At 37.4% G+C, this 25330-nt stretch overlaps 1 protein-coding gene across 16 annotated transcripts in view; it reads right to left on the bottom strand.

Moving 5' to 3' along the window:
* The window catches only part of ADAMTSL1 (ADAMTS like 1), a 1004318-nt gene that overhangs the window by 393504 nt on the left and 585484 nt on the right, over positions 1-25330 (bottom strand). For all 16 annotated transcript variants that reach the window (XM_011518064.4, XM_017015312.3, XM_011518063.3 and 13 more), the window contains one exon: positions 12491-12618. In XM_011518064.4, the coding sequence (XP_011516366.1) occupies positions 12491-12618 (128 nt within the window). The remainder of the gene's footprint in view (positions 1-12490; positions 12619-25330) is intronic.

Raw genomic sequence — 25330 nt, 5'->3', positions numbered from 1 at the left:
AAACTTAAAGTATAATAAAAAAAAATAAATTAAAAAAAAAGAAAAAGATGAAAAGTTTAAAATGAAATTAAATAGCTACCAAAGTAAAAAAATTGGGCTCTATTTTAATGAACACGTTTATTTTCATATATTTATTATAAGTTGTGTTTGTCCTTGCAATGCATTTGCTTCCTCTGAAAGATGGCTAGGGGTGGGGGCCGGGGGATTGCTGCCTTTGGCTTAAGATCCACTAGCAAGAAGGACATGCACTTTATAGTATACACACACATGCCATAAGGTTTGCAAATGATCTTACATTTGCTCAGTAGCCAAAAGAGGCAAAGAATGAGAATAAAAACAAATGTGTTTTAGCAACATCAAGTCCAACTTTTCCATCTTCCCCTTGAGGAAAATGTATATTATGAAACTCTAGGACTCTAACAACCTCTCCTGATACAAGCCTTGAGCTAGAAATTTATGAATTATTTTGGCTAGAGACAAAAGTTCTCCAATCCTTCCATGTCACCCAGATGTTCATTGCAAAACAGGGGTCTGGAGAGTCACAACATTTTTCTTTAAAACCATTTATATGAAGAGCAGTTTTTGCTCCTCTTCCTATCTAACAGCAAAATGGGCTTGACTGCATATCTGGAGGAGAAACTGTCTCCTTTTTAGGGGCACACATTTCAGAGTTGAAGGGCACCTTGGATATCTGTTCAACAAATATTTATGGAACACTTGTTCTGTTCCAGGCACTGCCCACTTGATTTCACAGATAAGCAAACAAAATCCCAGAGAAACTAAAATCTAGTCCAATGTCATACAAGTAGAGAACAGTGGTGCCAATATTCAAAATCAGTAGTTTTATGAAAAATAAAATAGAAGTAATAATCCACAAAGTAGGCAATGAAACTCACTGCTACAAATTCTGGTTCCCACAACATGTGGTTCTCTCCCTAAGTAGGAAAGGGTCTTTATCTGGACCAGGGATTCCTACTCCAAAGCCCAAAGGCAGTGGCTGGCTCTGCAGCTATTTGAGGTTGGTATATTAGTTAGGGGCTTCAGCTGATGATCCATGCATGGATGTAATATCACCTAGTGTTTTATAAGTTATTCTTCCTGCCTCCAGGTGAATTGTCCATCCCCCATTGTATATGATTTGGACAGACCACCCTCTGTTTGCTTTTAATATCCAGTATCTGTCTCCATCTCTCTCTCTTTCTTTCTTTCTCTCTCTTTCTCAGTGACTGAAACTAAGGAAAACAGGGTCAGATAACTCTTTTCTATTTTCTACAAATTGGGCCCAAACCGAAGAATAATTCAATAAATTATGCAAGTAGCATTAGGAAATCTTTCTTTTTCTTTCTTTTTTTTTTTTTTGGTAGTTGAGGTGAGGGAGGAGCTGGAGGGATGGATGCTGAATTGAAGATGGAAAACTCAACTCAACTCAACTCTGTGGATAGGAAGTTTAATGACTTTAAGGAGAGGTGAGTCTCAGAGAATTTGCATAAACTACCCAAGAATCACTAGGACATTAACCTGGTCATTCACCAACAAGCTGGAAGCTTAAAGGATCATGTTTGTAGGCTTAATTAATAAAAGGATGAAAGAATAAGTTAGAAATCACTTAGTTCATTTAATACTTTGGGCAAGGCTGATGATGACTAATACTAGACAACTGTGTATGTACCAGAAAAGTAGATAAAGAGTAGTACCTAGGGCAATCCCCACTCTTACATCTTGACATGCTTGTATCCATGACTTCTCTCCCACATGGCGGACTCGATCATTTTACAGAAACTCCTTTTAACATAAAAGAAGTTTCTTTATCAGAAAATCCTGTGGTAGCTCATCCCTGTAATCCCAGCACTTTGGGAGGCCAAGGTGAGCAAATCACTTGAGCTCACGAGGGAGACACCAGCCTGGCCAACATAGTGAAACCCTGTCTCTACAAAAAATACAAAAATTAGCCAGGCATGATTGCTCATGCCTGTCGTCCCAGCTACTCGGGAGGCTGAGATAGGAGGACGGTTTGAAACTGGGAGGCAAAGGTTGCAGTGAGCCGAGATGGCACCACTGCACTCCAGCCTGGGCGATACAGCCAGACCTTGTCTCAAAAAACAAACAAACAACAAAAATTCTTCTTTTCTTCTTTACCCTAACCTCTACTTTTTCAGGGAGCTAGAGATAAACCTCATCATTGCACTATCACCCCCTTCGAGACGGCAGCAATTTTAAACTCTGGATACACACTAAAATCATTTGGAGAGCTTTGAAAAAATTACTGATGTCAGGAATCTACCCCAAGAGATCCTAATTTAACTGTTCTTTGGTAGGGCCCAGATATCTGTATTTTTTTTAAAAGCTTTCCAGGTGATTCTAAAGTGTAACTAGGATTAAGAACTACTTCCATAACAGAAGGAGGAATAAAAACCACATGATCATCTTTGAAAGATGCAGAAAAATCATTTGGCAAAATTTAACATCTTTCATGATGTGAACTCTCAAACTAGGCATAGAAGGAAATTTCTTCAAAATAACTAAGGCCATATGTGAAAAGTCCTCAGCTAACATCACACTCAATGGCTTTTCCTCTAATATCAGGAACAAGGCAAAGTTGCTCACTCTTGCCACTTCTGTTCAAAAGAGTACTGAAAGTCTTAGGTCAGTAAGACAAGAAAAATAAATAAAAGGCATCCAAAAAAGAAAGGAAGAAGTTAAATTATCTCTATTTGCAGATGACATGATCTTATAAGCAGAAAACTCTAAATACTTCACGAAAGACTAATAAACAAATTGAGTAAAACTGAGGGATACAAAATCAATATAGAAAAATCAGGCTGGGCGTGGTGGCTCACGCCTGTAATCCCCACACTTTGGGAGGCCGAGGCGGGCGGATCATGAGGTCAGGAGATCGAGACCATCCTGGTGAACACGGTGAAACCCCGTCTCTACTAAAAATACAAAAAAAGTAGCCGGGCATGGTGGCGGGTGCCTGTAGTCCCAGCTACTCGGGAGGCTGAGGCAGGAGAATGGCGTGAACCCCGGAGGCGGAGCTTGCAGTGAGCCGAGATAGTGCCGCTGCACTCCAGCCTGGGAGACAGCGAGACTTCGTTCAAAAAAAAAAAAAAAAAAAAAAAGAAAGAAAAATCAGTTGCAATTCTACACACTAATAACAAACTATCCACAAAAGAAATTAAGAGAACAGTCTCATTTACAATCACATCAAAAAGAATAAAATACTTAGGAATAAACTAAGGAAGTGAAGGACTTGAACACTGACAATCACAAAACATTACTGAAAGAAATTAAAGATGACACAAATAAATGGTAAAACCTTCCATGTTCATGGAGTGGAAGAGTAATGTTGTTAAAATGTCCATGTTACCCAATGTGATCTATAGATACAATGCGTTGCCTATCAAACTCCCAGTAACTGATTATTATAGAAATGGAAAAAACAGTTCTAAAATTCATATGAAACAAAAAACAATCTGGAATGTTCAGAACAATATTGAGAGAGAACAAAGCTGAAGGCATCACAGTTCCTGATTTCAAAACATTTTATAAGCTACAGAAATTAAAATAGTATGGTACTGGTGTAAAGATATGCCAGTGTAAAGACACCTTGGTGTAAAGACAGACATATACACCAATAGAACACCTAGAAAAACACTCACACATACACAGTCAACTGATCTTTGACAAAGGTTCCAAGAATACACAATGGGGAAAGGTGCTGGGAAAACTGGATATCCACATGTGAAAGAATAAAATTGCTATCAAAATTTCACCATAGACAAAAATTAACTCAAAATGGACTATAGACTTAAATATAAGACTTGAAACTATAAAACTCCAACTGGAAAATACAGGGGCAAAGCTTCCTAATATTGATTTGGCAATGATCTCTCAGCTATAACACCAAAAGCACAAGCAACAAAAGCAAAAATAGGCAAGTAGGACACTATCAAAGTAAACAGTCTGCACGGCAAGGGAAAGAACAACAATGAATGAACTCTGAGGCCATTATCCTGAGTGAAATAAGTCAGAAATAAGGATAAGTACTACGTGATTCCACTTATATAAGGTATCTAGACTAATCAAGTACATAGAAGCAGACAGTAGAAGGGAGGCTGCCAGAGGTTGCGGCGGAGGGAGAAATAGTACTTGCCATTCAAGGAGTCTAGTTTCAGTGATGCAAGATGGCTAAATTGTAGAGATCTGCTGCACAGCACTGCTGGTGTAGTTAACAATACTGTATAGAACACTTCAAATTTGGTTGAGATGGTGGATCTCATGCTAAATTGTCTTACCACAATAAAAAATAAAAATAAAAAGAGGAAGGGAAATAACCAAGAGGGAATTAGAGAGGAGATTAGCTCTAAGATCCTTCCCAGCTCAGTCTAGGTCTAAGTCTGAAATATTTTCTTAATTCTGCAAAAGTAGAATTGGTTCCACCAACCTTTGTTCTGTGGTATAGGGATTAGGTTCCCAATTCTTTTGTAGAGATGTTTAATATCACATAGTTTTCTTCCACTTTAGTTGAAGCACAGATTGAAGAAATAAAATGACAATACTGCATATACTGTTTAAAAGCCAATTATTAAACATTTGAATGTCTGCTGTGTGCTAAGCACTGTAAAAAAGGAGGAATTCATACAATTGAATTAGGAAAAGAAAGCATTAATATATAAAATGATGCTACCAGAATAAAATAACAATACATATAAAATATTTTTAAAACCCAGTTCCACAGATGTATTATTTATAGAACTGGGGGAACTTCTCTTAGTTCTTAAAATATCTTGCAACTATAATCAGTAGAAACTCAGAGGCAAATTAATAATTTGGTAAATTCTTGAGACTCTGGCCCTTTGGGATTTCTATCCTTAATTATACCTACCAATTTGCTTAATACATAGTAGGTATTCAATAAATATTTATTGAATGAATGAATTAAAATTGAGGAGATATACAAACTTTAGAAGGGCTACTGAACAAATCACATAAGGATTTTTTTTTTTAATAAACAGAAAAAGACATCTAAGAGTTACAGATTCCTGATATGGCAAGTAAATGTTATGGACAACAAACACATTTCTAACCATCTTTTATTCCAACAAATTGGCTTATGGGATAAACCAGGCCATAAATTGGTCCTAAACATTCAGTCATTGGCCTTAGCGCATTTGCCTCCGGAAAGGAGATCAGATCTTGGAACAATACACCCCCCTAAGATATATGACCTGAAATATTAGAAGTCTTGGTAATATATTTAGACTAGGCTTTAACCCAAAAAGTAAAAGGAAGGCAACTGCAAACTCTTAAGCATATGTTCCAAAATATGCAATCTCCTTTAACAAAATGAAAAGACTATCTCATACAAATGACATGAGTAGTCATACCCACTCTGAACTTGTATATCTTTCTTTTAAACAAAAATTCAAACATTCCCAAGGAAAACAAGGGTGATAACATATAACACCAGATGAAGAATAACAGATAAAGCCTGCTTTGGGGCTCACTTGAGCTGAAAGTTCTAAAACCTCTTAAAACAAGTCCTGTGAATCTTAATTGGATGTTATGATAGAGATGAGATGTCTTTTAGAGAAAAAAACAAACATTTGTTTAAGAAGCAAAATCTTACCATTGAAAATTTTCTTTTGGTATTTATTATTATACGGTATAGAAATAAGATGCTAACTAAAGCCTATATTAGTGTATCAATATTTTCATGGCAGAATATCTGTGTTTGCAATTAAAAATCAGAGAAGTTAGCTTACTTTCTCTTACCACAATTATTATGAAATGAGACCTTTAGAATGATCTTTCCTATTCCTGTGGACTAAGACTCCTTGGGGCTATTTATTTTACTTTTTCTGTATTTATGTTGACACCATTCTGGCAGCCACATGCCTTTGGAATAATACTATAATCTTACTTGTTTTAGGCACCTCTTGTGTGATTTTTATTTCTTGCTCATCTAATAATCGTATTACCTCAAAAACTTTTTAATTCAATTTTAATATTTAACTCAAAATTTATTAACTTTTAAAAAATTCTGCCATCCTTCATAAGAAGATCATTTTTTGCTATTTGGATAGATATGAAACAGCCAAGCCCATTGCTGAATCAGTTAAGATTTAACATAATATTTGTATTCTTAATGTATTAATTTATGCTCTTAATACAATATTAATGTAGTATTAATTTATACCATTAGCAGATGAATTTGGCATTTCAGAAAGTAAAAAAGGTCTCAGAAGACCTTTAAATCTTCTTTAGTCACCAGTGCAAAGGTTCACATCACACCTAAGAGCAGCCAGCTATCTAACTCGTTGCCATCTCAAATGAGGGGTAGTTTCCTCCTTTGAGCCTGGTCTTGGCATTGACTTAATACAGGGAGACAGATAATGTTACACATTATATTAACTGTCTTATGCATTTGGAACTTCTTATGAGCAAAGCTAAATTAGCTGGCTGAAGATAAACCTAGAGCTCTGAAAGATAGATCTTTAGTATTAAATATTTTTTAAAAAGCTAGACAAATAGTTCACTATAAATATTATTTCAGAGTATTTAGTAGGGGGGTGAAGAACTGGAGAGAGGAGCAGCTTCTCAAGGTACCTAGTACTTTAATTCATTTGAAATAAAATAAATGTCCATCATCAAGCACCAGTAGGTATAGTCTCTTTTCTAATTAATGAAAAATAAAAACAGGTATTATATTCTACTTAGCGATACTAGATTAGTAAAAGTTACATTATAAGAGTTACTCAATAAAACCTCATATAACCTTACAAAATTAGTAAAGGTGAGAGACAATGTTTATACAGTGTCTTTCTTTGTTGTTCAAACCAGGGTTGCAGATAAAGGCAATGATCAGTGTTCCAATATCATAAACCTGGAAAATCAAGCACTGCCTACTTTCTGCAAACCTCAGAAAAAGGGTAGGGGAGAAACCAAGGAAAGGATTCTACTCAGTATGTTCCTGGGTCAGAACTTTTTCTCCAGTATCAAGTACTGCTTGTTGAGAATGAAGGCTTTTATATTTAATGTGTACCTGTGTTTTCATTCTGCTTTGTCTCCATTGAATTTTTTTCTAGAACCTTCAAAAGATCACTCAGAGAGGATGTTCTGTACTCAGAGGGTAAACCAAGTCTCCTCACAAGCTCCCGGTCCATCAGGGAACAAAATTAACTCCAGAAGTTGAGTAGTTGTCATTTATTCCACAAAATCTAAGTAATCTACCTCCCTTTACATTTCTTTCATATTGGGAATAGAATAATCATTAGCTGATAGACTTGAAAAAATAATCAGACCTGAGAGTGCTCTAAGAGGTCATATTACTAGAGCTAGAAAATTGGCCTGGCAGGTTAATTTACCTGGTAGATGGGATTTATTTGGACTCAATATGAATGCTACTACATACATTCCAGTTACCTGCTAGGCCTCTAAGCATATATACATTCATAAACTCTGATCTTTCCCTATTGGGAAGGTATATAAGGTGACTGAACTGAATTTAGATGCCTAGATCTGGAGTGGAGAAATGAGACAGAACCCATGAAGTTCATTATCCCATTACAAATGAGTAAGAAAGCCATAGAAGACTATTCATGCTAGATTGAAGAATAGTCCCAATTTTTCACCCTCTCTCTAGCTCATGCTTTCACATGTAACAATTTGGCTCTCCCATTCTGACTCTGGACTTGGTGGATGGCTTAGTTTGGCCAATGAGATACTAGCAAATATGGTACAGAAGCTGGAAACAGGCTTTGCACTGGGAATTGCTCTCTCTTACACCTCTGCTATCACTATGAGAACTTGCCTAGGCTAGCCTGCTGGAGGATAAGGAACTTGTGGAGCAGAATTGGGTTTCCCAAGTTGAACCAGATGAAGCCAGTCTAGATCAGCCAACATCCAGCCAACCCTAGATATGTGATCAAGACCATCAAAGTCCATCAGAGCTGCCTAGCCAAGCAATAATTCCTTATCTGATATTCCACTGAGGATTAGTGGTTTTTATGCAGCATTACTGTGGCAATGAATAATTGCTACACCAATTAGAGTTACCATTAGCGTAAGGAAGTAAGGGGAGTAAACTAATAAATTCTTGCTGGTACTAGAATAGATAGAACCAGTTGTTGAGGGAAAAAACTTGAAAACTTTAAAAATCAAACTGATTCGAAGTCTTAAAGCTGAGCACATATCCCAGAACATATCTATTTCTTTTTTTTTTTTTTTTTTTTTTTTTTTTTTTTTTTTTTTTTTGAGACGGAGTCTCGCTCTGTCGCCCAGGCCGGACTGCGGACTGCAGTGGCGCAATCTCGGCTCACTGCAAGCTCCGCCTCCCGGGTTCACGCCATTCTCCTGCCTCAGCCTCCCGAGTAGCTGGGACTACAGGCGCCCGCCACCGCGCCCGGCTAATTTTTTGTATTTTTAGTAGAGACGGGGTTTCACCTTGTTAGCCAGGATGGTCTCGATCTCCTGACCTCATGATCCACCCGCCTCGGCCTCCCAAAGTGCTGGGATTACAGGCGTGAGCCACCGCGCCCGGCCTCTATTTCTAAATTATAAGAGTCAAAATACATTCTAAATCCAGCCTAAGGACTGATTTAGGGCCATATTTAAGCAATGACCTAATTACAGTCAAGTAGTAATGAGAAAAATGTTAGAATGTATTTTATTAATATTATATTTTGCTTTTATAAGTACTTATTTAATATTTCTTACTGCTTAGAGTTATGTATTTTAATGAAAATTAAAATTTTTATACATGACTATAACTGAAAGTTTAATGAATGCTAGGTGTCTCCATGAACTTTGATAGCTGAAAGCTAGCTTTTTGAAACATGAGGCTGTAACCCAGGAATTTCTGTTAATAGTGAAAGATCTAGATTGCAAATAAAAATTATCAAGAAAACAAATAGCTTCTTAGGTGCTTGACAACTTAAAAGATAATGAAGACAACTACACTTCCATGGAGGATCCTGAGCAGATGCATTCAAACTATATATGGAGGAGACTATAAATCATCTAAAATGAAATCATCCAAAATGTCTGATTCCCTTTAGATACCAAAGGGGACTTGCTCCACACTTTCATTACACACAAAAAAGGAGAAAATACAGGGCTAAAATCATATTAATAAAACTTGTGAAGTGATACAGAATGGCAGGAAGAGAAAGCCAGGGACACACAAACATTTGAGAATCTCTGATTCCAAACATAATAATCCCAGGTAAAGAAAACTGAATTTTTTTTTTTCTTTTTTTTTTGAGACGGAGTTTCGCTCGTCGCCCAGGCTGGAGTGCAGTGACTCGATCTTGGCTCACTGCAACCTCTGCCTCTGGGGTTCAAGCGATTCTCCTGCCTCAGCCTCCCTAGCAGCTGCAATTATAAGCACCCGCTACCACGCCCAGCTAATTTTTGCATTTTTAGTAGAAATCGGGTTTGTCCATATTGGCCAGGCTTGTCTTGAACTCTTGACCTCAGGTGATCCACCCGCCTCGGCCTCCCAAAGTGCTGCAATTACAGGCGTGAGCCACTGTGCCTGGCCAAACTGAATTTTGATTGAGGACCAGTGACACTTAGGATAAGGTCTCCCCTGGGTAAATGGGTCTGACTAGTATCCACAAAGGGCCCCTGCCAGGGTGAGTTCTCTGCAACAGAAGCTGTCAGACCCTTTTGAAATGATATATATTTTCTGTCACAGCTCAGCACACACACAAATACATGCGTGGGGTAGGGGGTTTGTAGGTGTATACGCATGCCTTGTTTTGAAAAATGCAACATAAACAAAAGTCTTGAATCAAAGCAGGAACTATCTAAGCTGTTCAATAATAGCATGTTGTGTTGTGCTTTCTAGAAAATAAGTGTGTAATTGCCATAAAAACTAAAGTATTGGGTTGGTGAATTGAAGGTAATAGCAAAAACTGCAATTACTTTTGCACCAACTAATATTTTAAAAATCAGCATTATAGCATCCAGGAACATTCAATGGGTTAACATACTTATTTGGTATTATTATAAAGGTATTTACTTAGTCACTGTAGATCTTTAAATTGTCCTTGGAGATGCAGATTTTCTACAATCAATACACCCCCAAAGGGATTAACTCAGTCTTAGTTTTGCTCCTTTTAAAATCTGTAGCTGTAAGATTTAACTCATTAGGGCGCAGAGGTAATATGCTAATGTGGTCATATCATGAGCTGCTTGTCTCCAGAAATCCCACTAGAATCTCAGATTGAACAGCTAAATCAACCTCTATGTTGTTTGTCTTACAAGGATCAGAATTAATACAGTTTAGCCTAATAATACAAATCCTATTGAAGAATGATGTCAAAATATATGATAGGGCATATATAAATAGTTCTTTCACAATTAAAAATATATATTACATTTTCTATCCAGATTGTTCCAGAGTTTAATGATGATGACAAGTTTTTGATTTGCTAAAGAATGACTAGAATTTAAAAGTATAGAACATATCCATGTGGATAATGTATCAGTCCATACTAAGCACTGGTTTTTAAGAAACTAATATTTCTTTATATTCTTGTTGGATTTGGAAATGCCTTCTATTTGGAGGCTTTTTTTCTTCTTCAAATTCCTAAAGAATGGGTAGTCAACCTCCGCCCCATTTTTTAAGCTTCTTGGTCAGCCTTGTATGAGATTACTGAATATATATTTTTAATACTTGAAAGTAAAATAGGGACATATCTTCTATATGTTTATAATTTCAGCATTTACATTCTACTTTTCTAATACTTTATAAGTAGAAGACAACTGATATCTTTTGTAGTATCATAATAGAGCCCTAACACCTAGACCTTTAACTTACTAGGTGGCAAAATTGTTTATTTTTGAATTTCGCATGGCATCAATATTTGATTATTTGCTGAATGACAGAATTTTGTGATTTTAATGTATTCCCTAAATTGCTTCTCAGTCTCTCACTCAGTAAAAGATCCTACCTCAAGCTGACATACACATCACTGAGACAATATGAAAATTCCCCTTTGTTTCTTATCAGTTTTGTGAGACACATGTTTTGGCTCACCTCTATAAAATATTCAAGGATGCTAATTTGAGAAAACTAAATAACAGGAACATTCTAAATTTATACTTTTTGGCTTTACTGATGTATGAATATTATCAGTTACATTATCACCGTGTGGCAGCATACATTGCAGATTTTGGAAGTTTTGTATATTCAAGATTAAGAGAGCAGGTGAATCATAAGGAGCAAAAGTCTAGTCTTTCTTATCAGCTCAAGGTTCTCGTTGATTCGAAGCTGGCCTCAAAAATGAGACAAACAAACCTGCTGGTAAATACAATCACATTGACCCATTTTTAGTGCACACCTCAATGCCACAGTGGCCAAATATCAGAATTGATCTGGTATCTTGTTGGATACATCTCAGGTTATAACATTTCCAGTGAGACCTCCCTGGAGCCAAAATGGTCTTTCATGTTTCAATGAAGAACCATCTATCGGGCTTCTAATATCTGTTAGACCCTGTGCAGGCCTTGGGGAGACAGAAAGGAATAAGGCTCAGACGCTGATTTCAAGAAATTCTCACTCTTATTAAAGTAAGTTGACATTTTTCTGAACCTCTGTCTCACCACTTTCTGCTATTTGTTTATGAAATGTCTAGAATTCTTTTTCTGTTTCCCGTTTTATAATATAGTATATACAGTAATTTTGAGCAAACCTCCTACTTGCTATACATAACACTTTTCATAGTCAAATAAAATCTTTCATTAAAAATATTACCATGGTACTTTATATTTTATAGTTTGGAGACAGATCTAGTCATAGACCACACAGCTCAAGAAGGAGTTTTAAATTATTACTCTAAGTAAAAATTTCCATTCTAAGGCCTCAGGCCCTTTCCTTTTAGCTTAGATGTCATTAGCCACCCCCATGTCTACCTTCTTCATCCCTTTCACTATTCCTGACCCAATTCCCACTGAAGCTTCTATTTTTCCAAACTTCCTTATATTCGAAATTCATCATTCATTGAACTGAATGACTTTAAGAAACTTCTGGCTATTAGGACATCTACAAAAATAAACCAATATGTTATTCACTTGCAAAGTACTTGGTAACACTAAAAATCCAGCATAAACTCAATATGCTACTAACACCAATACTGTACAATATGTCATAGAGCTAATAATTCCAGAACCATTCCTAACAATAAATACTCCTTCCAGTCCTAACATGAAAACAGATAACATTTGCTTGGTAAAGATGATAAGTTTCTCTATTGCTTATCATCTGATAAGAGTACATAAAGACCCAGCTGCAGATGGACGTAAGAACACAAATAAAAACACGTAAGAACACAAATTTAATTATTTGTACGTTCCTTTAATTCTTTTCTTTTATCTGGATCTGTAAGCCACAAAATGTTCTCCATAAACCCAATCACAAAAGCATGCCTCAAACCGGCTACCTCTGGTTCTCACAAAGACCCCCAACGGGTGCAGGACTTACTTGCTGCTCAGGCAGCGCCTCAGAGAGTAGGAGGCCCCACCCCCGCAGGTGCGTGAGCATTCACTCCATGGGCCCCAGGCATCCCATAGGCCGTCCCGGTCCTCCTCGGAGCGTGCGGTCCTGGAACTCTGTGAGAAACAAAAGAATGGTCAGCATCATATCCCCCATGGAACCCTGAAACATGTGTTCTAAAATGTGACTGGCCTGTACGTGTGTGTACATGGTGGCTTTGCTAGGAATGAAAACGCGCAATCAGATTCTCGGATTCTTTTCCATTTCATAATGCCTATATGTTCAGGGGGAGGGATATTTAAATTTAAGGGCCCTGGGCAATGACTGAAGTGGGCACGAAGTTGTACAAATGGAACAAATGGAAAAGGAAGCCAGAAACAGGAATTTGGGTTAGAAGACAATCAATTGCATTGAAGTCACAATTTTGCTCAGGGTTCATGAGTGTACTCTTCATCTCTTAGTGAAAGGAAAGAAGCTGCTCTCAGAGGTATTTCTGTCCTGAGAAGCTTGGCATGTGCACACTAAACTGCTTCCCAAAATCTAACAATATTTTATACCATCGACAATTTTTTAATAAAGCAACTGCATTCCTAGTTTTCAGATGTGCTCGTTGGAATAACTATACAAATAACTTTAGCAATGCACGGATTGCCTCTTGACAAATAGACTTGCTGGTTATTTACAGGCTTTCTAGGAAAATTTCCATATACTGTAAGAATACTTGTGGTTATGTACAGGTCTCAATGCTGTACTTCACATTCAAGAAAAAGATAAAATGTGTGCTATAGTTAAGAGAACAGGCTCTGGAGTTACAAATTATCTGAGTTTGGGTACAAGTTCTATTTTTTATTACGAGTCCTTGAACAAGTAACTTACCACCTTCCTATGCCCCAATTTCCCTTTTTACAAATTGGGGTAATATTATAACCATGCTACTGCACACACACACACACACACACACACATGCATGCACATATTATATAGGAAGATCAGCAAAATGAACTTAGCCCACCTAGAACTAGTGCCGGAGCAGAGTGCTAATTTTTATTTTGTAGTAATGGGATCCTTTATCAATCAGTTGCTATGGGGTGCGGTTATTAAACTGACTACTCCTTTGAACTTTTAAAACCTGTACTTGAACTTTTAAAACCTGGCCTTAGGATGTTATACAAATGGTTTTCCAACTGGTACATGCTATACTTAGTTTCCTGAATCATTGGAAAGGGAGATGAGATAGCACAGTGATTAGGAGCAGGAACTGTGGATCTACCCAGCCTGGGGTGGAATACTGGCTTTAGAGCTTCCTAGCTCTATAAACTTGGGCACCTACACAATCTCATATGCTTTAGTTTTCTTATCATAAGATGGAGATAATAAAGATACTACAACAATGAATGAATCAATGAATCTTTTTGAGCAGTGAAAGAGTTGATACATAAAAAGCACATAAAGTGGAAATAACCCAAATGTCCATGAGTGGATGAATATGTAAACAAAATGTGGTATATATATATATATATATACACAATGGAATACTATTCAGCCTTAAAAAGGAAGAAAATTTAGATGCAGGTTCAACATGAATGAAACTTAAAGACATGACACGAAGTGAAATAAGTCAGACATGAAAGAACAAATATTGCATGATTCCACTTACTGAGGTATCTAGAATAGTCAAATTCATAGACACAGAAATGTCTGTGTCTGTGTCTAGAATGGGGGGCACTGGGAGAGAGGGGAATGGGGAGTTGTTTTATGGATGCAGAATTTCAGTTAGGGAAGATGAAAAAGTTCTGGAGATGGATGGTAGTGATGATTGCAAAACAATGTGAATGTATTTAATGTATAGTTCAGTGTATAAATATATATACTTAAAAATAGTTAAAATGTTAAATTTTGTGTTAGTACATTTCACTGGCACAAAAACAAATATAAACATACATTTTTAAAAGTACATAGGGCCTAAATAATAAACACTACATTGTATAAGCATTTGTTGCTATTATTATTTAACATTATTTATTAATTATTATTAATATGTATAAACATATATGGGCTCTGAAAGTTTACAGGAGGTACACTGATAAGGCACCAGGCTTTTTGCTTTGAGTTTAGTTGAGACACCGTGCTTGTAAAGTATCATCTCCCTGAAATCCCTGACTTTCCCACAGTACGACCTTGCAGCCTCTTGTCATATTGCATCTGCCTGGTGATGTAATCTGCTAGCAGTTTTATGTTCCTATAAAATGTGGCAAAGCATGGATAACGGAGCCACCTTGGTAACCCCAAAATCTGTACTTTTGAAAGGAAGAATTTATTGAGCTCCAAAGCCTGGTTTTTAGGATTATTAAAATCAATCCTTAATCACTGCAATAAGAGGTGCTCTGTTTTCAGAACTTAAACAATGAGAGAGAAAAGACTCTTTGCCAATGATGTATGCATACACAAATTTCTTCTCCATAGCCCATTTAAATTCATCCCTCAGATTTTAAAAAGTTAATTGTGTATCATCTAACTCTTTGTTTGCCGCATGTGAATAGAAGATAGGATTGCTGACTACTGAGAGAGGTGCAGTATTTTCCTGAAGCAGTTTCTATTTAAGTGACAAATATATATCTCTGCAATGCGATTTCTCTCATTTTACTCAAATTCAATATGACTTTGATGAAACCAGTATCACAAACGTTAGGATTCATGCAGTAATTGAAATGAGTGATTACAAACTTTGATGCTATCCGTTACTACAACTGCAAAAGCAAAACAAAACAAAACTAAAGAAAATCCACACGCAGCATTCACATGCAGAATGCATTTTCATATGAGATAAGAACACTCGAATGCCAAATCCTTGGAGAGTTTCCCTCTGGCTGTTCTCTGGGTAAGATATTTGGTAAATAATGTATGGTTGTGATTTTGTTTTTCTAGAAAAACAAATTGTTTCAAACTCTGTGCTAAAGTTCCTTGATATTTTTCATGTGCCTTGTTTGAAGAAGTACTAAAAGCTTCAATGGTGAGGTTTCACTGCTAAGCATCTTATCTCATCACATATTACACGTTTCAGCACAACTACACATATTAAGTGCCCACGATGTCTCTGAATGAGATCTCATGCAAACCCAGAAGCAAGTCATAGGTCTATTTCACAAAGTCGAACAAACTCTAAGTTTTCTTTTAACAAGTAGAATAAACATAATTCATTTCAATGGAATCCATGTTTAATGTTGGAGAAAGTGATTTTTCTGCTTTTTAACTGTGCCAGACATTTACATCTATAACCAGCAATGACTTTTTAGAGATGCCTTTCTGATTATTTAAAATCTAGAAGTATTTGTTTATTGCAGTTTTTAAGACTTTCTTCACTATAAACAAATTTTGTGTCTGGCCCTGGTAGAACACATGCTTATTTCTCTTCTCTTTTACTTTTTTTTTTTTTTTTTTTTTGAGACCGTGTCTTACTTTGTTGCCCAGGCTGGAGTGCAGTGACACGATCATTGCAGCCTTGACCTCCTGGGCTCAAGGGATCCTCCTGCCTCAGCCTCTTGAGTAGCTGGGACTACAGGTGCTTGTCGGCACGCCCGGCTAATTTTTGTATTTTTCATAGAGACGAGGTTTCGCTATGTTGCCCAAGCTGGTCTTGAACTCCTGAGCTCGAGCTATCCACCCACCTTGGCCTCCCAAAGTGCTGGCATTACAGGCATGAGCCATCACGCTCGGCCCCATTTCTCTTTTACTTTTGAATGTACAGTCCTTTTAACTTTACAGCAGCAATTTTCTAAAGTGTAAACTTTGAATTGCATCTAGCAGGGGAAATAGAGGCAGAAGAAAAATAAAGAGTAGATAATGGGTCGCCTAAAAGTAACGCTGATTGCTTCTGAAATCAAAAATCTAAGCTCTTCTATACAGGCCAGCCAATGTTTTTCAATGATTTTCGTCAGATAAATGTAATATTTTAATTCAATGTCTCAAAAGGAAGGTTATGGATGCTATTGAACATAGTGATCAAAAGATTATCCCTGACCCCACTGCTGGAAATTTCAGCAGCAATGTCATGTGAGATGATGGTCTTTAGCTGTTAATATCAATGACAAGGAACTAAAGAACAACTATTAAGTTCTTTATGTAAGGCAATGTTTCACTAGTAGTAGATGTATCATAAAAAGTCTAGAGTGCATCTCATATTGAACTTGAGGGAAAAGGCCATTATAAAACCCTTTCTTATTACAGCAACTATTTTACTTTACAGGCATTGGATGAGTGAGAATGGACAATTGGCAGCTGTTTTGATCTAGCATTTGAGAAATCCACTGAGAGAAGAAGCGCCTGAGTTTTGGCTCTATAATTTTATGAAAGTTGACTAGGCCCCTTGAGTTATTAAATTTAGAAACAGTTCAGCCATTTTTAGATCTTTGGTGCCACATATTGACCTTTAAATGTAGTGTTGGATAAGACTCCTGAATCAACTGCTGTCTTCTCAGAAACTCAGCAATCAACCCCCCAACTCCATTGATCCATCGTTCCTGGCCAGTCAAGACGTTCTTAGCCTCAGTAAATGCCAATTTTATGGAATACAGATTGTGGTCACAGATCATTATATGCCTCCTACAAATACTAGAAGAGCTCTCCTACATCCATCAACCTCAGAATGGTGTCATTTTCTTGCCATTACTGGCTTATCTAAACGTGGTTTACATCTGACAGTTTTGTGGTTAATTCCAGAGCCAATTGCAGCAACAAAGTCTCAGGTGAACAGCTCCAAGCCTGACAGCTACAAGTAGTTAAACAATTTGAGTAATCACATGAAGCAATATTTTCCCTGCAGCTCACTGCCCAATAGACACTTCACCTTAGAATGACCTCCTATGTACCACTTATCCATAGCCTCTTTCATTGGAACCTGGACAGGTTATCAAATACATGAAAGATGTAAGATGAAGCAGAAATTAGCAATAAAAGACTAGAGTTATATTTGCTCAGAGACACGCATATACAGGGTACTTGGAAAATATTTTTTCCAAATGTTAAAACAAGAGGTCAAGCTATATGAAATTAAATGAAAAAAAAGTAGGTGCTGAGGAAATGCTTGATAGTTTTTTGTAAAATTGAAGTCATATAACAGCTGAAGTTATAGTATAAGAGAAGTGTTTTTCAGATGTCAACAGATCGTCAGAAGTAACAAAATGGGCTATGAGAGAAGGCAAAGAATGGCACTCACAATTTTAAGATCATCAAGAAGGTACCTGAACCTCTGGTTTTCCACTTCCAGACAGACAGCATTTAGCTTAAGTTATCTGGAGCTGTGTATGTGGCTGTATCAAATGGATGTCACACACTTCTATATTAAAAAGAGGGGCAACTCCCCCAGTGATGAGAGAACCATTTTTCCTGTGGTCTGCCCATGCGAAGTGGAGCAATCTATACACAGAAACATCCTGGCCATGTCTGAAGCTTTGGAAACAAATCTGCAGATTCCATTTTTAGCTGCCCTACCCACATCAGGTCTCTATAAATCTTATCTAATCCTTGGCTTCTTTAACAACTTGGAATACTGGTTCTGCCGCCAACTGTATGTGGTAGGGGTTGTGATTCCCTGCTCCTGAGAGCTCACAGACATTAAGCAGTAACTGGGCTCTTGTAAAAGTCCATTAGCTTTTTGATGTACTTTCTTAAAGAGCGTAGTGTGTGGATACTGAGGCATGCGCCTTCCCAGATGATATTTGCTGCTGGCTTTGCTTAGGAAATTTGGATCATCTGGTTCTTATCACAGCTGCACTGTTGGGAGATATGATGAACTGCCAGTGACACAGTGCATGGTCTTTCAGAGGCCACTGCATGAAGCCTGTCCCTTGCTACTGAAGAGAAAAGTCAATTCTGTAACAGGGTGTAAAAGCTATACAGGCCAAGGAGGACTTTTGGGTACCTGTCTCCCTTTTGCTTTCTCAGCATCTATGCACACATTCCAGTGCGCTTTTGCGCATTCCTGTTAAGGCGACTAACTGCACTAAGCCTGGAGAGTTGATGGTGAGGGAAAACTGGGGTTTCTTAAGTACCTGCATGCCAGGAAGCATGCCAGGATTTAGACAAATGATCGTATTTAATCCTCACAATGACCCAGGTCAGGTGAGAATTTTTTTTCCTTATTTTACAAATAAGAAAATTGAGGCTGTGAGGTTGAACAACCTGTATCATGCTGCAGGAGAAAGAGCACAGACTTTAGAGTGAGACGGACTTTCCTAGTCATATACTGGTAAACTTGAACTTAGACATGTTGTCAGATCTCGTTAAGCCAGAGTTTCTTCATGTGTAAAATGGGAACATTGGCCGGGCGCGGTGGCTCATGCCAGCACTTTGGGAGGCCGAGGCGGGCGGATCAGCTGAGGGCAAGACTTTGAGACCAGCCTGACCAACATGGTTAAACCCCATCGTTACTACAAACACAAAAAATTAGCCAGGCATGGTGACGCTTGCCTGTAATCCTAGCTACTTGGGAGGCTGGGACACAAGAATCGCTTGAACCCAGGAGGTGAAGGTTGCAGTGAGCTGAGATCGGGCCAATGCACTCCAGCCTGGGCAACAAGAGTAAAATCCCATCTCAAAAAAAAAAAAAAAGGGGGTGGGGGGAACATTGATACTTCTCATAATATGGTGATTAACAGAGAGAACACATGTGAAGTACCTAGCATAGTTTCTGGCATATTAGTGCCAATTATTTTATCACTCCCTGCCCCCACCCCCATGCTACAAATGCACACACGCTCATGTCACATAGTTAATATCTAGTAAAGCCAAGTTTTATGTCTGTATCTTTTTTTTTCTGCCTAGCTTCATATTTTGACCTTTCTTTCCTTTTCAAACAGTATTTATCAGTATGTGAATTTTGTATAAAATGACAATGAATGGTGTTGCTTTTCTTCTAAAAAATTATTTTGTCCTCAGAATTCCTTCTCGTCCTGGGACAACAATTTGGAGATGAAATTAAAACAGCTTCATCACTTTTTAGGAAACAAAAATCCGACTCTGTTCAATGTCAAATACTTCAGTAAGGTTTTCATTTCAGAACTATGGTAACTTGATTTTATTTTGTATTCTATCCAAGGTCAAGCCTGGATTATAGCTCTTCTAGAAAACTGCTGAGAAACCTCTGGGCATTTTGGAAAGCTTCAACAGAACACAATTTCACAGCCAGTTGAATTAAAATCAATAATTGCTGATATGAACAAAGGTTAGTATTCAGGAAATTTTCGACAGACCATTGAATATTTTGAATCAGCTTATCTCAAGGGAAGGCATAGATAAAATATTTGATCATTCTCAGTTTCTATTACTTTAAAAGCACAAACTTAGCAAATGGAAACACTATAACTGCTTTGTCATAAGACTGAGAGAATATTAATATAAATATTATAATGCATTTTTTTGATAGAGATTTCAAACTCCTTTAATTTGGAAGACTAAAGGAGATTTTCTACTAGAAATAGCCTGTCAGTCTGTTTCTCTTTTTCTGTGATAATAATCTTCTTTAAAATAACTATAATAGCTGAGCTTCTAGACCTAGAGAGTGCTCAATTAGGAGTAGAAGCCTGAAGCTGGTAATTCATGTATTTTACAAAGGAAAAGTGGAAAACAGGAGAACTGTATCCTGTAGAAACTACAGTCATTTAAAAAAATTCATTTATTTCATGTTTTTGAAGGAAGTCATCACCTTCCTGGCCCCTGGACTATAGGGATATTTTAAACCCTGATACTATTTCACCTCAGGTGTGAAACGTTAGCCATTTTACCTGGAGTTCTAAAAATGAAACAATTGTTCCTGGTTGCTGTTGCTGTTTTTTGTTTTCTTCTTTTTCCTATACTTAGAAAACCAATCTCCAGTGGAAAATAATATGTAGGCCCAACACCAAGGAAAACAGTGAAGAATCACCCCCTAGGGCTTCCACACCCTCCACTCCCCAAAACAGGCATGTTTGAAACACCCCCTCAAACGAAATTCTCTCTCTGCTCTTTTTGTGAATTCCCAACTTCCTGGTGAGCCAGTTAGAAGTTTTAGTTTCCACTTCCATCTAATCTAACCAGAGGTCCGTCCAAACTGTGACTCCAATCAGCCATAGATACTTTCTGCAGCACTGGCAAATTGAGCTGAAATGAATTTACAAACCATCTGTAGAACTAAGGAAACATCTGAGGCTCTGGAAAGCACATGTTGGGGTTTGGAATCATAGAGGAAGAATTCCTGTTGGAGAAAAATCTCATTTCATGATTTGCTGAGGAAACTGGAACGTTAATAGATTAATATGGCTTAGGGTTTGATGGGCAAAAAAACCCAAATTATAACTGATAATAGGGAAGCTGCATGAAATGACTAGCTAACTTCATGTCACTCTCAAACAAGTCAGCTTTTGGTTTTGGTAGAACTTTCTCTTTTCTTTGGTTGACTATTGTGCCATGTGAGCCAAGAAAAAAATGTGGTGTAATAGTTCTGAATTAAGTTCCATGGGATGCGGGATGTGGTTTAGGTTCTATTCCTATACTCATGATTGGATGCGTTCTCTCTTAAATACCATCCAGATATTGTAGGATGTGTGGGATTGAAATTTAAAACATTCTCCCTGGCTTAATATTATGCTTTCTTCTTTTTTACATTCTTGTTTCTACTTTTGCTTAAGTTCAGCTCTCCTTACTCAGAAAAAGTGGAATGATAAGCTCTTAGTATTGCAGTATTCTCCTTAACCTGAAGTTACTTGATGTCCCATTATGTAGTACTAGTTTACAAAGAGTCAGTATAGAATAAATTAAAACAAGACTTTGTAGCTCTTTGGGATTATCATTCTATATAACAATTATCTTTCCAATTAGACTGGAAGCTCTTTGAAGGCAGGGGTGATGCTTTCTATTTTTGAGTTATCTACAGTTATTGAAATAATTATTAAGAATGTCATTTTGAAGAAAATGTAAGATTTCAACAAATATTTAATCAATGATGAAATGCCTGGAAATACGTTTTATTTTAAATGTTTACATATTTGTCATTTGTCTCTCAAAAAGGTACATAGGGCATAGAGTAAGCATAAAGTGGGGGAGAAAGCAAGACCATGAGAAATATCCAGTCACTTAAAATTGCCAAGTAATTTCAATTTCAGGGACTTTCTTCTGTTCTCCAGCTCAAATAGGTATCACTCCCCCACCTTCACACACACACACTAGGAGATGAAGTCCATCAAAAACTCTGTACCTGCAACCTAGATGACTTTGTTCTAAGAAGCAGTAGCTCTCTCAATTACCATATCTTTGTACCTTCAATAGATAACATTTTCCTCTAGCTTAACCTGTAGCTGTAACTACAGGCAGTAGCCTGGATATTTGGAACACTCTGGCAAATTTTGCAGTTTTGGGAGTAGGTTGATTTTGAGGTTCTGGTCATACTTTCCCATTATGAATGTAAAGCAAACCAACCTAGTCTCTTAGCTATCTAGGAGGTGCTCTGGGGCTAGGAAACCATGTAAGGTAGAGATGGCAACCAACAAGTTAATCACTGCTTACTCAGGTTTACTATTTTCAACAGTTCCTTATTTGATTTTATGTCCATAAGCAGTGATTAGTCTCAGAGGTCACTACCCTACCTCATAGCCCTCTGCCTCTTGGCTTTTGAGGGACGCGTTGCTTTCACATGAATGTGAAGTTTCTAATCCTGCATGCTTATGTTTTCATTTCTGCTCATTCCCTGAGTCCTGCGTGAGTCAGCAACACCTTTAGAGGATTTACAGTTTAGTGGGGAAGATTGAGATAACAACAAAATATTTAACTGCTCAACATCATTTATAATTAATCAGACATCAAGTCTTATCAATTCCATTTCTGAAATCCCTCTCTCTTCCATTCTCACCCCGTCCAATCTTACTTTCACTGACTTAATTCTGGTACTACCATTCATGCCTGGCACTTTGCAATTGACTTCCCATCTGGTGTTTTTGACCTCCAGCCTCTCTTCCCACCAGTCTGTCCTCTTCATCATTCCCAGTTATCTTGCTAGAATACAAAGCTCAACTGTTCACTCCTTGCTAGGAGATTTTCTATGGCTCCACTGCCTAAAGCTGATGGGACCTAGTAGTGTTAATAAATGCCAGGTGGGCTATGAACTCTCAGAAACTCTATGCCACATTTTGAGCATATGTGTGTTATATCACACTTCTGGAGCGAGGATTTATAGCTTTTATCAAATTCTTCAAAAAAGGTGAAGAGCCATTGGATATAGGGTAAAGTCTAAGTTATTAGCATAGCATACAAGACGCTTCATAAACTGGCCCTAAATCAACATTCTAGATTCATTCCTGCTTTTTGTAATCATACATGGCCTCTACACTTCAGTAATTGGTCATGATTCTCAGTAACACAGGTGCTGTGAGGACATCTAGTAATCGGGTCATGATCTTGATAGTGCCTAGATTCCCCTCCTCACCATCTTGCTCACATCTTTTTATTTCATTTGACTTGTGTACTCCTGCTCCTGCTCTAAGATGCAATGCCACTGCCATCTTCTAGTAAAATTTTCTCTTATCTCTAGGTAGAATCAATCACTGCTTGGCCTGGTTTTTTTTTTTTTTTTGAGACAGTCTGTCACCCAGACTGGAGTGCAGTCGTGTGATCTCAGCTCACTGCAATCTCCACCTTCTGGGTTCAAGCGATTCGCCTGTCTCAGCCTCCTGAGTAGTTGGGATTACAGGCACCCGCCACCATGCCCGGGTAATTTTTGTATTTTTAATAGAGACAGGGTTTCACCATGTTCCCCAGGCTGGTCTTGATTCCTGACCTCAGGTGATCCACCCGTTTCTGCCTCCCAAAGTGCTGGGATTACAGGCGTGAGCCACCACCCAGCCATCCTGTGTGTTTTGAGCATATTGCTAGGACTTGATACAAATGGCTATTTTAGCATTTGTCAGCCACCCAGTATAGTTACTTGTTTACACATCTATCCCCAGAAGTGGACTGTGTGCTTCTTAAGAGCTGTGACAAAGATGAATATGCCTCTGAATATGCGCAGTGCCTTGTAGAACACCAGATACGTAATCGGTCTCAGTGAATATTCATTAAATGAATGATTAACACAAGGCAGGTTAGGACAAACTGCAGTTGAATGTCTAATTCATAACAGCTGTCAGCTTTCACTCTTGTCCATATACATTCAGATTATCTAAAGACAGAGGGAAAAAATGTATGCAGAAGCTGCAGATAAGCAAGGGAACAGAAGAGGACAAAAATGAATCTGAATCATGGGGGCAAAAAAAGGATCACATTTCTGCTTATTCACATGTCTTTTTATGCCAACTCTAAATTTACCCAAAATGTGTAAAGCTGAAAGATGATTAACCTGTCACATCTTGGCTTAATCTAGCTTTATCCAAGTCCTAGATCCTTGTTTGCCAAAGGGAGCCTGTCACTGAGTAAACAATTTTCATCCCTCTGCAGCACTTGGGAAGCTGTGCTTTTGAAGATGAGTGTGCTGGGATTAGAAAGAGAACTGGGAATGAGAATGAAGAGAGGTGGGTGAGGAAGTCCTGGCTTAATTAAAAGCATAGGCCTCTACCAATTAAAAAGAAGTAAAGAATACTTATTAAATCATTTTTAATGAGTGTAAAAATTAGTACAATACATAGATAACCATAGATCACAGAGAGATGTAAAGTTGAGCAGAATTAATCAGGAAAAATAACCTGATAGAAGCAAATCTGAACACACATTTTAAAGTCAGAGTTTTGGACTCGGGAGAACATATTTCCATTAGATTTTCCATAAAACTAAATATTGCAATTCAAGTAATAGAGCTCTCATGTTAAAATAAATTAATAGAGGCAAAATATCAATACAATGTCCTTGAAGCTAGGGACTAGGTGATATTCAGCTTAACCCCTAATATCTAACACAGGGCTTGATACAGAGTTTAATGTTCAATGGATGTTTACTGTTCTGCTGAGTTTTTGGTGAGCACTTTTAATTTTAAAATGTTTCAGAGTGTACATACATAATATTGATAGCAAAAACTTCTAAACAGGGACACAGTCTAGGCAACAGGATTTGGCCACTGTGGTGTTTTTGTTATATCCTGACTTTGCTGCTGTGGTATTTTAGGCAACTTAGTTCTCTCTGCCTCAGATTAGTCACTTCCACAAAAAGGAATTTTGGCTAATTTCTGAGACACCTCTAGCTACAAAAATGTCTATGATTCTAAATTAGTCTATTTCATTTAAGCACATTTACAAATCAATTTTCTAATTTGTAAAATGGAACATAAGCATTTGCTCTGTGTAACTCATAGAGTTATTTTTTTAAATATAAGTGCTAATACATGAAAAAACGTTGTGCAGTGCAATTAATAAATGAAATCCAAGTAGAGGCAGTCCTACAGCTTCAGTCCTAAGAATTGTTTTGTTACAAAGCAACTCTTGAAACAGAGAATCTCTGCTGGGACTTTCTTTCTTTGCTAATACAATTTTCTGCATCCAGAACCTATGGCAGATCCTAAAGTGACTTCTGAATAATAAAAGAAATGCTAAATTATACTCTGTACTTTTTATTAATAAGAGTTTACTCTTTAATACTTTGAAAAACAATAAATACTTGTAAGCAAAAGTCTCCCAAATGCTGAGATAAAAGTCAGCTTTATTTGATGTTTTTCAGTTTCTATATTGACTTAATTCCTAGCCAAGTGTTAAGGAATGATGTTTTTTTCTTCCTGTGATGTTTGTATTATAATGTGCTATATCAATAATCTTCATGACATACTTTGTTTTGTATCAAAACAGAAACTCTGTTATTGTGCTTCCCTACTGTGTAACTTAG

Source organism: Homo sapiens, chromosome 9 (assembly GCF_000001405.40).
Source record: "Homo sapiens chromosome 9, GRCh38.p14 Primary Assembly".
NCBI classification, from domain to species: Eukaryota; Metazoa; Chordata; class Mammalia; order Primates; family Hominidae; genus Homo; species Homo sapiens.
This window is presented reverse-complemented; position numbering and strand designations above follow the sequence as displayed.